General features: G+C 41.2%; 1 protein-coding gene and 1 long non-coding RNA gene across 8 annotated transcripts in view, besides 1 other annotated feature; one reads left to right on the top strand and one right to left on the bottom strand.

The window, feature by feature from the left end:
• Nucleotides 1-3,482, top strand: part of PDCD1LG2 (programmed cell death 1 ligand 2) — a 60,752-nt gene extending 57,270 nt beyond the window's left edge. For both annotated transcript variants that reach the window (XM_005251600.4, NM_025239.4), the window contains exon 7: nucleotides 2,154-3,482. In XM_005251600.4, the coding sequence (XP_005251657.1) occupies nucleotides 2,154-2,185 (32 nt within the window). In that variant the 3' untranslated portion in view covers nucleotides 2,186-3,482. The remainder of the gene's footprint in view (nucleotides 1-2,153) is intronic.
• The window catches only part of INCR1 (interferon stimulated noncoding RNA 1), a 172,297-nt gene that overhangs the window by 110,370 nt on the left and 47,755 nt on the right, over nucleotides 1-14,172 (bottom strand). For 5 of the 6 annotated variants that reach the window (XR_007061403.1, XR_007061404.1, XR_007061407.1 and 2 more), the window contains one exon: nucleotides 9,460-9,711. The exons of the other annotated variant lie outside the window; for it this stretch is intronic. This is a non-coding gene — a long non-coding RNA (interferon stimulated noncoding RNA 1). Of the gene's footprint in view, nucleotides 1-9,459; nucleotides 9,712-14,172 lie in introns of those variants that run through there. 6 annotated transcript variants of the gene reach the window in all.
• Nucleotides 1,746-1,835: an enhancer, noted in NCBI's record as "active region_28171". NCBI's record gives its function as "activates an Ori minimal core promoter by ATAC-STARR-seq in GM12878 lymphoblastoid cells {active_cell/tissue: GM12878}" and the evidence as "EXISTENCE:reporter gene assay evidence [ECO:0000049][PMID:35858748]".

The raw sequence follows: 14,172 nt of genomic DNA on the forward strand, positions 1-14,172 counted from the left end.
CAGTCATCCAAGATTCTTACAATTAAGTATTACCGATAAGGTACTCAAGAAACAGTTCTCATTCACATAATTTGGGTTAAAACAAAAAGAAGCCAGCTTTCTATATACTTTTGGTCCAGTCTTTACGTTTTTTGTTTTGTTTTGTTTGTTTTCATGAGTATCCCGACTTCCTTCTAAGAACTTCCACCTGAGAACTGACCACAGCGTCAGCATTCCACATGGGTGTGTTTCCTTTCCCCTTTCCCATTTCAGTGGTTTCCAATTTCTTTTTCTTTTGGCACTATAAACCTTTCGCAAAGGAAATATTAGACAGAACTCCTACATGTCAAGCAAATTAAAATAGTGGTGAAATTAGAGTGGAGGACATAATCACCCTATCATATAGGCTATTTGTCCATATCATATTTGTCCCTACAAAGGCCTCTAAGGCAGGGGTCCCCAACCTCTGGGCCGCAGACCGGTACCAGTGGCCTGTTAGGAACTGAGCCACACAGCAGGAGGTGAGCGGGAGACAAGCGGGCACTACTACCTGAGCTCTACCTCCTGTGAGATCAGCAGCAGCATTAGATTCTCATAGAAGCGTGAATCCTATTGTGAACTGCACATATGAGGGATCTAGGTTGTGTGCTCCTTATGAAAATCTAATGTCTGACGATCTGAGGTGGAACAGGTTCATCCTGAAACTATAGCCTACCCCCACTCCCACACCCAATCCATGGAAAAATTGTCTTCCCTGAAACCAGTCCCTGGTGCCAAAAATGTTGGGGACCACTGCTCTAAGATACCTTGTGCTTCTTGGAACATATTTGGAAAATCATGTAGCTCTCAAATTATCCCTATGTCCTGAAGCCCACCTTACCATCAATCCTCAGAAATACCCAACCCATGTCAGGCAACTTCACACTTTCTTTCTTCAGGCAGCACAGTTGTCTCAGGGAGGGAGGAGAGTGCTATTAGCAAGAGGAGTCACTAACAGCTTCACTCACCTGTGCCCATGAATTTTTAATGGTGTGAAAAGTCTGTGTATTTTTTATGGTTCTCTATGGCTCATATAAGAGGGACAAACAATACATGAAAGTTCAGAGATGGGGACAAATATCACTTTAAGCTGGGGATAATCAGGGAAGAAGAAAGTTTTCATGGAGAAGGTGACTTTTGAATCAGGAAGAAATGGAAACAGCAAACTCTTCTAGATAGAGGAGACACTAACAGGAAAGGCAGAGAGGCAGGAAGGTGTGGGAAAGTGCACGTGACCCCGTTCAGAGAGAAAGCCAGGTGTGAGATAAGGGGGAAAGACTGTTAGGGCATGTATTGTAAACCACTAATTCCAGGCAAAAGTTAGATTTTACTTACTAAGCAAGAGTGCTTCAGTTAGATCCTAGCAGGAAATGGAGGGTATGCTTAGAAGAGGTAACTGAGGCAAGTTTAATTTATAAAGGTGTGTGCAGCATTAAGGGAAACCAGCAAGGGATACTGAGCATGCCAGGATGCAAGAGCAGGCAGGGAAGGTGACTATTCCTAGGTCTGAAGGAGAAAGGGGAGGGAGCAGTTCCCAGAACCCTAGTAAAAATGGCAATGAGAAAGGTCCATCTGGCAGGACCTATGGTCTTTAACAGAGGGACAAAGTCAACCCACAACTTGTCTGGGAGGTTGCTGAGGAATAGATACCCCAACCTCTCTCTCAACCCACTGCAACACTCTTTTTCCCCTAGACTGAGCCCAGTCAAAGACAGAGGGAGGAGCCCAGTGATGCAGTCTGCAATGTCATCATCCTGGAGCATGAATAGAGTGCAGCAGGGTGAATAATGAGTCTGCAGGAATTAATAGAAATATCTGACACAATAGGGAACTATAAGAGGTTTTGAATAGGAGAGGCCCCTGAAATGTGCTCCAATATTACTGAACTATGTGTGGCCCAAAGAATGGAAGAGGAACAGCTCTTGCAATAGGTCTGAGGAGAGAAGCTGAAGACTTGGACTAGGGCAATGGTAAAAACTGTGGAAAGAAGTTTTAAATGAAAAGTTTTAAACCATGCGGCTTCCAGCTAGATGAACTTTTTTAAAAAAATTAGTTCCTCACTCAAATTTTGGGGAGGTTATATATTTTCTAATCATAAAAAATGATTTTTCTTATTTGTGGGCTTTTCTCCCCAGATCTGAACCTGTGGTCTTGGGAGCCAGGGTGACCTGATATGACATCTAAAGAAGCTTCTGGACTCTGAACAAGAATTCGGTGGCCTGCAGAGCTTGCCATTTGCACTTTTCAAATGCCTTTGGATGACCCAGCACTTTAATCTGAAACCTGCAACAAGACTAGCCAACACCTGGCCATGAAACTTGCCCCTTCACTGATCTGGACTCACCTCTGGAGCCTATGGCTTTAAGCAAGCACTACTGCACTTTACAGAATTACCCCACTGGATCCTGGACCCACAGAATTCCTTCAGGATCCTTCTTGCTGCCAGACTGAAAGCAAAAGGAATTATTTCCCCTCAAGTTTTCTAAGTGATTTCCAAAAGCAGAGGTGTGTGGAAATTTCCAGTAACAGAAACAGATGGGTTGCCAATAGAGTTATTTTTTATCTATAGCTTCCTCTGGGTACTAGAAGAGGCTATTGAGACTATGAGCTCACAGACAGGGCTTCGCACAAACTCAAATCATAATTGACATGTTTTATGGATTACTGGAATCTTGATAGCATAATGAAGTTGTTCTAATTAACAGAGAGCATTTAAATATACACTAAGTGCACAAATTGTGGAGTAAAGTCATCAAGCTCTGTTTTTGAGGTCTAAGTCACAAAGCATTTGTTTTAACCTGTAATGGCACCATGTTTAATGGTGGTTTTTTTTTTGAACTACATCTTTCCTTTAAAAATTATTGGTTTCTTTTTATTTGTTTTTACCTTAGAAATCAATTATATACAGTCAAAAATATTTGATATGCTCATACGTTGTATCTGCAGCAATTTCAGATAAGTAGCTAAAATGGCCAAAGCCCCAAACTAAGCCTCCTTTTCTGGCCCTCAATATGACTTTAAATTTGACTTTTCAGTGCCTCAGTTTGCACATCTGTAATACAGCAATGCTAAGTAGTCAAGGCCTTTGATAATTGGCACTATGGAAATCCTGCAAGATCCCACTACATATGTGTGGAGCAGAAGGGTAACTCGGCTACAGTAACAGCTTAATTTTGTTAAATTTGTTCTTTATACTGGAGCCATGAAGCTCAGAGCATTAGCTGACCCTTGAACTATTCAAATGGGCACATTAGCTAGTATAACAGACTTACATAGGTGGGCCTAAAGCAAGCTCCTTAACTGAGCAAAATTTGGGGCTTATGAGAATGAAAGGGTGTGAAATTGACTAACAGACAAATCATACATCTCAGTTTCTCAATTCTCATGTAAATCAGAGAATGCCTTTAAAGAATAAAACTCAATTGTTATTCTTCAACGTTCTTTATATATTCTACTTTTGGGTAAGAGGTTTGCTCAGGGTCTTGCAAGTCAGTAAGTTTAATATCCTATTACGCCATTTGGCTCCCAAAGATTTGAAGGCCTTTGAGGCAAACTTGGATGTACTTTTCAGCAGGGTTGGGTCCTAGGGATGCTTGATCTGGGGCTCCTGCTGGAGGAGGAGCACTTCCTAACACCACAGAGAGCAGGGCAGGAGACAAGGCCTTCTTCCCTGGAAGAAGCCCACCTATGCTGCCCCTACCCCCACCCATGCCCCAGATATGTGATTGGCATGTTGAATGCTTGGGGAGTTTTGTTTAACTCTGTTAGGAACCCAGTGGCATAATGGCTTCTGTCAAAATATTCCCATCTTTGTTCCTAGATTGGGGCTATCTTTTAGATTACCAAATAGGGAGAGAGCAATCTAGCTGTAGTATCCTGAAATCTGGGTTCTGTCAGGGGAGAAAATCATAAGGCAATGTGTCTTAGCTTCAGAAATTTTCTATACTACAGCATGCTATCTTAACACCTAACATTTATCAAGTACTTGCTATTGCCCAATATTGTTAAGCATTTTACACATACTATTGGAACAAATCATCCCCAAACTCTCTGAAAAAGACACTATTAATTACTCCATTTTACAGATAAGGAAAGGCACAGAGAGGTTAAGTAATTTGGTTAAGGCTGCTTGTTCAGTTTGAAAGGGATGGAATTAGAGCAACAAACCTATATTTTTTGTTACACACCATAATGTGCCCTGATTTCCTACCACATGGGGTTTAAAGTGGTATTTTTATACTGTGTGGTCTCTTTGCTGGTCAATAATTAATTTCAGAAACAACAGATGCTGGCGAGGGTGCAGAGAAATAGGAACACTTTTACACTGTTGGTGGGAGTGTAAATTAGTTCAACCCTTGTGGAAGACAGTGTGGTGATTTCTCAAGGGTCTAGAACCAGAAATACCATTTGACCCAGCAATCACATTACTGAGTATATACCCAAAGGATTATAAATCATTCTACTATAAAGACACATGCACACGTATGTTTATTGCAGCACTATTCACAATAGCAAAAACTTGGAACCAACCCAAATGCCCATCAATGATAGACTGGATAAAGAAAAGGTGGCACATATACAGCATGGAATACTATGCAGCCATAAAAAAAGAATGAGTTCATGTCCTTTGCAGGGACACGGATGAAGCTGGAAACCATAATCCTCAGCAAACTAACACAGGAACAGAAAACCAAACACCACATGTTCTCACTCATATGTAGGAGTTGAACAATGAGAACACATGGACACAAGGAGGGGAACATCACCCACCAGGGCCTGTTGAGGGGGTTGGGGGAAAGCAGAGAAGAGCATTAGGACAAATACCTAGATGACATGTTGATAGATTCAGCAAACCACCATGGCACATGTATACCTATGTAACAAACCTGCAGGTTCAGCACATGTATCCCAGAATTTAATAATAATAATTAATTTCACTCTTTTCCAGGGAAGTGCTATAGGAGTGTAGGTGGCGTGTGGGTTCTGGCATCAGAGATTCAAACCCCAGCTCAACTAGGTATGAGTTATACAACTCTGAATATATTGGTTGACCTCTACGCATCAGTTTACTTCAATATAGTGAGACCTGGCCAGGCGTGGTGGCTCATGCCTGTAATCCTAGAACTTTGGGAGGTCAAGGTGGGTGAATCACTTAAAGCCAGAAGTTCGAGACCACCCTGGCCAACATGGTGAAATCCCATCTTTACTAAAAATACAAAAATTAGCTGGGGATGGTGGCACGCACCTGTAATCACAGCTACTCAGGAGACTGAGGCAGGAGAATCGCTTGAATCTAGGAGGTGGTGGTTGCAGTGAGCCGAGATCACACCACTGCACTCCAGCCTGGGCGACACAGCCAGACTTTGTCTCAAAAAAAAAACAAAAACAAAAACAACAACAAAAAATGCATATATATATATATATATATATAAATAGATATAGTGATATAGTGATACCCCATCTCTGCAAAAAATTTAAAAAATAAAAATAAAAAAAATTTAAAGGGGCCGGGTGCAGTGGCTCACACCTGTAATCCTAACACTTTGGGAGGCCAAGGCGGGTGGATCATGAGGTCAGGAGTTCAAGACCAGTCTGGCGAAGATGGTGAAACCCTGTCTCTACTAAAAATACAAAAATTAGCCAAGAGTGGCGGCGGGTGCCTGTAATTCCAGCTACTCAGGAGGCTGAGGCAGGAGAATCATGTGGACCCGGGAGGCAGAGGTTGCAGTTGCAGTGAGCTGAGGTCATGCTACTGCACTCTAGCCTGGGCAACAGGGCAAGACTCTGTCTCAAAAAAAAAAAAAAGAAAAAAAAGAAAAGAAAAGATAAAGAAAGCAGTTATCTTTCTCAGTTTATCATGAGGATTTTGAGCACAGGTTTTGTCATCCCCTTAGACTCCTAGAGAGCAGGGAAGGAGTGAGATTTTTGCCATGTACCTGGTACGTGATAGGTACCTCATGCATGGTCACCTCTGAGACTCATTATGTATTGGGAGAATGGCTACTATTAAGACTTCTACTTTTTTTTTTTTTTTTTGAGATGGACTTTTGCTCTTGTTGCCCAGGCTGGAGTGCAATGGCACAATCTTGGCCCACAGCAACCTCCGCCCCCCACCAGGTTCAAGTGATTCTCCTGCCTCAGACTCCTGAGTAGCTGGGATTACAGGCATGCACCACCACGCCCAGCTAATTTTGTATTTTTAGTAGAGGTGGGGTTTCTCCATGTTGGTCAGGGTGGTCTCAAACTCCCGACCTCAGGTGATCCGCCCGCCTCAGCCTCCCAAAGTGCTAGGATTACAGGCGTGAACCACCGCACCCAGCCAACACCTTTACTTTTTATGGCCTGGATATAATGGGCTAAAACATATATAATGACAATGCTTAAAAGACTTAGATGAATTCTAAGTCTGGAAAAAAAAGTACTTTTTACAAAAGGAGCAAAAATAGCATTCAGGAGAGTTTGAGGAATTGAGAAAGACCAAACAAACAAAAATCACCTATGATCTCATCATCCAAGCACAAACACTTTCATGTTTGCTGTTTGTTTCTGCTCTTTGTCCATTTATGTATTTAAGTTTGGCTATGGTTGCAACATGTAATTTTCTATACTTTAAAAAATTTGGGGCTGGGCACAGTCGCTCACGCCTGTAATCCCAGCACCTTGGGAGGCCGAGGCGGGCGGATCACCTGAGGTGGGGAGTTCAAGACCAGCTTGACCAACATGGAGAAACCCCGTCTCTACTAAAAATACAAAATTAGCTGGGCATGGTGGTGCATGCCTATAATCCCAGCTACTCAGGAGGCTGAAGCAGGATAATGGCTTGAACCCAGGAGGCGGAGGTTGCAGTGAGCCGAGACAGCACCATTGCACTCCAGCCTGGGTGACAAGAGCGAAACTCCATCTCAAAAAAAAAAAAAAAAATTGTCATCTACCATAAGCTCACACTTATGTTGCTGACAAGTGTTCCTAATTATCACTTTTACTGGCTGCATAATATTCTACTGAGTGGCTGTGACAAAATTTAATTAACTGTTCCCCTATTAATGTAAGATTACCGTTGTTTCTGGTTTTTTTGCCACTTTAGTTACAAGCTTTTGTGCTGGATATCCTCCATTTGACCCTCCAGATCCACTCTCCAGCCTTGTCCTCCCTGCTTTGGGTCCTATGAAGCTGACTTGTATGGACTGTATCAATGGGCTCCATTGCTCTCTGGCTTTTGATTGGGTTCAGCCAATGGGGACCCTGGCAGGAGATCAGAGGATGGGAGAAGAGTATTGCTGGGGTATTTATTCCCCAGGCTCTCCGTCTCCAGGGTCACTGCTGGCTGGATAATTCTCTCAACTAAAGGTCACAGCTCTTGTTGAATGACCCTTTCCACATGGCTCCATCTGCCTGTGGGTTCCAGTAACTGCTCTCTCCAGTCCCCTTTTCATGTCTGGGTGCCTACGTGTCCCCTCACCCCCTGCAACACACACACACATGTGCAAACACACACACACACACACACACACCTGTTCCTGCTAGCCTTTGGGTACTGCACTATTCCTTAGAGTTCCCTACACCTGGCCCACATCTCTACAAAGAGTCTCTTTAATTAGTCCTCAAATTATACAGTTCAGTGTCCTAACTGATATATCATGCTATTTCAGATAATGCATGTCTTTTTACATCTAATTTCATTAGGATGGATACCTGAAAAGGGAATTATGGAGTCAAAGAATGTGAACACTTCAGGCTCTTGAGTCATACTGTCAATTTGCTTTTGAAAAGGATCTGTTGGCATTGGTACCAGTGCATCCTTCCAGCACTGGATATTTTAAAATATAATTTTGCTAAGTCAATAGGTTAAAAAATGGTACTTTATGGTAATTTAAGTTTTCATATCTTGGATTACCCTCAAGTTTGCTTATAAAACCTGGTTATTGCTGTGTACGTTGTTATTTTGGAGTTTGTTTAAATGTTTCTCCCTTCCCCACTCATTCTCTAGTTGTATAATCTTTCCTTAATAATTCAATTTTTTAAAAGATCAACTTTTTAAAGCCTCAATGTCTTCATCTATTTACAGATATCCTAACAATAACACCTCTCTCACAGAATTATTGTGAGAATTAAATGAAAATAAGCATGTAGCATATAAGAAACATCCAAGAAACATGAATGCTTTCCTCCTTAATAATTATGCATGGAGTTTAATTAACAAATTATGTCTATTTTTTAAAAAAATTGTGTCAGTTTTCTTTCAAGTTTATATTGAAACTTACTTCATAAAATAATATTATAGATGAGCAGAACAATTCAGTATTATCCAGATTTGTTTTTATATATTATGTGACTTTAGAAAATTTGTAACCCTTTTAAGCCAAAATCTTTAAAAACTATTTATTTTATTTTATTTTATTTTATTATTTTATTTTATTTTGAGACAGGGTCTCACTCTGTCTCCCAGGCTGGAGTGCAGTGGTACAATCATGGCTCACTGTAGCCTTGACCTCCCAGGCTCAAGTGATTCTCCCACCTCAGCTTCCTGAGTAGCTGGGACTATAGGCACATATCACCATGCATGTGTTACCTCAGGTCTGGTTTCTATTATACAGATCAAGTAATGCTTTGGCAGGCTACACATCTATTATCTATTTAATTCTTTTTTTGTGTGTGTGTGTGACGGAGTTTCACTCTTGTTGCCCAGGCTGGAGTGCAATGGCACAATCTCAGCTCACTGCAACCTCCGCCTCCCGGGTTCAAGCGATTCTCCTGCCTCAGCCTCCTGAGTAGCTAGGATTACAGGCATGTGCCACCATACAAAAATAATTTTGTATTTTTAGTAGAGGCGGGGTTTCTCCATGTTGGTCAGGCTGGTCTTGAACTCCCAACCTTGGGTGATCCACCCACCTCAGCCTCCCAAAGTGCTGGGATTTCAAGCATGAGCCACCACGCCCGGCCCACATCTATTTAATTCTTAGAGCCAACCACCACCAAAGATTATTCCTGCTGGTAAAAAATGCTGATCGCTACTCTGGGATCTCATCATCTACATTGAGATCAGGCAGATTTTCCCACCACATCCTTGGCCTATAGAAAGCAGCTGCCTGAACATGTTCAAGGGTGCTGGGGCTTCTCCCATTAAAGCATTTTTCAATGCTTTAGAGAAGAAACTATTCCTTAGGCTCTTTCAGGACCAAGTGTGGTGAGGGAAGAGGCACAGTTACATATAATAAATCACTCCTTTATTTCTATCTCCTTAGAGATTCTAATGGCTTAGGCCATTAGAATCCTTCCTATACATTATTCCAGAGAAATTCTGGCAACTCAACACCATTAAATGTAACCTACCAGTGAGTCCAAATTTCAGCCAATCAACTAAGCAAATAGTGCCATTCACAGCTGCTCTAGCTAATACATTTGTTTCAGCTAGCTTTTGTTGTATAACAAACTATCCAAAACTTAGTGACTTAAAACAACTGTTTATGTTTTTATGATTTTATAGGATAACAATTTGGGCTGGGCTCAGTGGAGGCAACTCATTTGTGCTCTACGTGGTGTCAGTGGGATCATTCATGCATTTGCAGTCAGTTGGCAGTTTGGCTGCCAGATGGCTGGTCTCAGATGGCTTCATTCATATCTTCCTATTGGTGCTGGCTGTTGGTAAAACCACGTATCTTCAGTAGGTTAGTCCAGGCATCTTCAACATAGAGTCTAATCCAAAAACAGCAAAAAAGAAAGAAAACCCCAATGTGCAAGTGCTTTCCAAGTCTCTGTTTGTATCACATTTGCTAATAATGTTCCATTATCCAAAGCAAGCACATAACCATGCCAAAAATCAATGTGTAAAGGAATTACATGAAGGCGTGATACCACTACTGTAATCATCTACAACATTAAGTCCAAAACTATCTGGAAAGTGTAGTATATCAGGACTACCTTAATTTGGCCCCAGTTCAATGTTATCTTCTGTGCTCCTGGGTCTAATACCTTTAGAATTCATCCCCATACATACTAGCCTGGTTTCCTCTAATGTTAAGTTAACAAAATCTTATGATTCTTTTGAAGTATAAGACTTTTCCTGCTGAGCTAGACTCTGCTCTTCCCACCTCCGTATATTCCGGGAACTGACTCTAAATAAAGGCCATGAGAGTTGGGAGCACTGGGGCTGAGAAAGAATAGGGATCTCCCTTGCAAGGCAAGTGCCTCATATGGGCTTATTACAGGCTTTCAAACAAGGAAAGGCTAATATCATTAGACAAGAAATGAGAGGCTTCTTCCACTATCAAGGGAAACTCAGGGATGCTTGGGGGTTTCAACATTCTCAGTTTCATCCAAATCCACCAAAATGTCCCCATTCCTAGTCTCAGAGTCCTACTCCTTTCAAATTACTGAGAAAACTTTCACATATGAGACTTAGCCAGTCTGTGAATGATTGATTTGGGTTGAATTTTTCAGTCATGTCTTTCATGTCTAGTGATTCCTGTAATTAGAAGGAATAAGAGGTACTTTCAGGGCAGTCTTAGAAGCCCTCTGGTGCTCTGAATATGATTTGAGGTGAAAGCCCTAAACTTGTTAGTTTCTTCCTGTAAGCACCCTGGTGCAATCAGAAGCAGCCATCCCACATTACATTCCTTATAATCATCTTTACTACCATAATGGTTAAATGCAACAGCTACTTGGCCTCCAGAAACTTGCCTTTCATTGGTATTCAACCCTAGCAAGAACAGATGATAATTTAATCAACCATGATGTCAATGCATGCCATAGATTACTAGTGGCAAAGAGTTCAGCTCTCAATTCAAACCAATCCAACACTAACAACAAATCAAATCAATCCCAGAATGTCAGAATTTGAGAATCTGTTTCCTATGACCACACCTAGTATCAAGTGCTAGTATCAGCCAGAGTCCAGTCATAAAAATAGAGTGTATTTAATATTAGGAACTTGTAATAAAGATATAAGAAGACTGAAAGAGCAAAAAAGTGGATGCCAAATATTAGAACTACAGACAGCAGCTACCTTTCTACTACCTATTGCTACAGGCATGACACATTCAGGAACTAGAAACAGGAAATAATTCCCCCTCCCACCTTCCAGTCCCCAAGGCCTTCCCATTTACTGAACTTAACAGGAAGCTAGCTGGCAAGGGAGGCTGGCAAATGAAGTTTGTCAAAATTCCAGCCCTGGCACATCAGAGCAGAGGAGAGGAGGATGGACTTAGAGTTGAGAACAGGAGGTACATAACCAACTCACTCCTCAATCAAAATCTATCTGGATGAAGTGGAGACATATCCATTAAGAGATAAAAAATAAAGAGACTATAAATTCCAATTAGATTGTAGCACAAGGAATTGTCTTAAACTCTGTGGCATCTGACCCTGTAACAAGGGCCCAATGTATATTTGTTGATTGGTTTTATGAGAAAAATAAAAATTGGGCATCTGCTTTGACCATGAGCATAGGACAAAATAAACTTATTTATTTATTTATTTATTTATTTATTTATTTATTTATTTATTTATTTTTGAGACGGAGTCTCACTCTGTCGCCCAGGCTGGAGTGCAGTGGCAAGATCTCGGCTCACTACTAGCTCCGCCTCCCAGGTTCATGCCATTCTCCCGCCTCAGCCTCCCAAGTAGCTAGGACTACAGGTGTGCGCCGCCATGCCCGGCTAATTTTTTGTATTTTTAGTAGAGACGGGGTTTCACCGTGTTAGCCAGGATGGTCTCAATCTCCTGACCTCGTGATCTGCCCACCTCAGCCTCCCAAAGTGCTGGGATTACAGGCGTGAGCCACCGCACCCGGGCCTTTAAGTACATTTTGTAGAAGTTGTATCAAAATTCATTGGCTGCAAATGAGAGAAAACCTGATGCAAACTGGCTTAAATTTTTAAAAGATAATGTGTTGGCTTATGTAACTGAGCAGCCAAATGTGCAACTGGGTATAGGGGGTCTAACAAATGTCTTCAGGATTCAAATTGTCTCTATCATTTCTTCACTCTGTTTCCTTTTTGTTGATGCCATTCTCAGACAAGATATCTCCTCATAATTACAAGATGGATGCCAATGATTATTAAACCTTTCAGATTCAAATATTTTACAAGAAAAAAAAGCCAGAGTATTTTTCTCAGCATTCTCAGCAAAATCCTGAGATTTACAGTGGAAAACTTATGTGCTGTGCCCTCTCCAGAACCAGTCACTGAAAGAAAGAGTATGTAAGTGATATCTTACATCTGGAGCTCCACCCAGACCACATGAACTGAAAGTGGAGAGTGAATCAAAGTGACATCTTTTGTGCTAAGATGTTGCAATTGCCCAAATGCATCTGTGGACTTCTACTAGAAGGTATAGCAGAAGGTGTTAGGTGTCTATTATAAGAAAAATATCACTATCATATAACACCCCTGGGGGACATATTTCTAAATTTCAGACAAAATATATTTTCAGTGCGTTGTCTTTCCTGATAATGTATTTACAGCCTGTCATGGGATATGTCTGTTTTAAAGTGCTGGGCAGGGTTTGGACTACATGTTCCTCCTTGTGCTGGGTTTGAAACATTAGATTGCCAATGTCTCATTGCTGGTATCCAAAATGAGGTTTAATTAAGTTTGCCATTATAGCTAATCTCCATACCATGCACCAGACATTGCTCTAATAGCTTCACATGTATGATCTCATTTAAACTTCATAACTTAGTGTATTGTCTTGTCTATTTTACACGTGTATTAGTCCGTTCTTGCATTGCTATAAAGAACTACCTAAGACTGGGTAATTTATAAAGAAAAGAGATTTTATTGACTCACAGTTCCACAGGCTATACAGGAAGCAAGGCTGGGGAAGCCTCAGGAAACTTACAATCATGGCAGAAGGTGCAGGAGAAGCAGGCAGGTCTTACATGGCCTGAGAAAGGAAGAGGGAGAGCAGGGGGAGGTGCTACACACTTTTAAACAACCAGATCTCATAAGAACTCACTCATTATCATGAGAACAGAAAAGGGAAATTCCACTCCCATGATCCAATCACCTCCCACCAGGCCCCTCCTCCAACACTGGGCATCACAATTCGACATGAGATTTGGGCGGGGACACAAATCCAAACCGTATCAACATGTAAGCAAACTAAGGCCCAGTGAAGTTAGATAAATTGCTCACATCACACAGCTAGTAAGTGGCAAAGCTAGATCTTAAGATTTTGCAAGCCAGACATGACATCAGGCCAAATATCCTACACCTGTACCAGTCAAGCCTTCATTATATAGTATTTTATAATTACATATGTGTTCAGTTTTCTCCAACAGCCTTTGAGGTATTAGGAGGAGGACCTGGTATTTTATTCATTTTTATAGTCCCAGAACCCAGTACAAGGATTCGCACATAGAAGATACTTAACAATTATCATGGAATTGAATTGAAAGCAGTGTGCATGGAGTCGAGGCAAGAGAGGCCAATATGGAAAAATATTTAGTGAATCTCCAGCATGTCCAATGGAGAAGGGTCTCTGTCCATCCAGCCCACATGTTCCTACCACCTGTCAGATCTATTCCTCCTATGTGAGTGCATCAGTCATGTAGCTTGTTGACACTAGTCATTAAAATCATTCTAGCCACCACCACCATCCTTCACCCCATCTATGGTCTATGCTTACTGAGAAACCTGAGTATAATTTGACTTCTTATATAGGGTTTTCTATAGGAATAGACTTTTTAAAGCAACTTCTGATATGCATGTCAATGGCATTTCTTATAATAGAAAAGTCCCTTAGGAGTTTGGTTAGTATGATCCAGTTTTTTAGTCTAATTCTGAGTTTACTCACAGAATCAATTTTCTAGACCTTTGAGATAAGACCTGGTGGTGTCAACAAGAACACCATTTGACCCAGCAGAAATACCATTTGACTCAGCAACCCCATTACTGGGTATATACCCAAAGGAATACAAATCCTTCTATTATAAAGATACATGCACACGTATGTTCACTGCAGTACTATTCACAATAGTAAAGACATAAAATCAACCTAAATGCCCATCAGTGATAGACTGGATAAAGAAAATGTAGTGTATATATACCATGGAATACTATGCAGCCATAAAAAGGAACAAGATCATGTCCTTTGCAGAGACATGGATGGAGTTGAAAGCCATTCTCCTCAGCAAACTAACACAGGAACAGAAAA

This window comes from Homo sapiens, chromosome 9 (assembly GCF_000001405.40).
Source record: "Homo sapiens chromosome 9, GRCh38.p14 Primary Assembly".
NCBI lineage: Eukaryota > Metazoa > Chordata > Mammalia > Primates > Hominidae > Homo > Homo sapiens.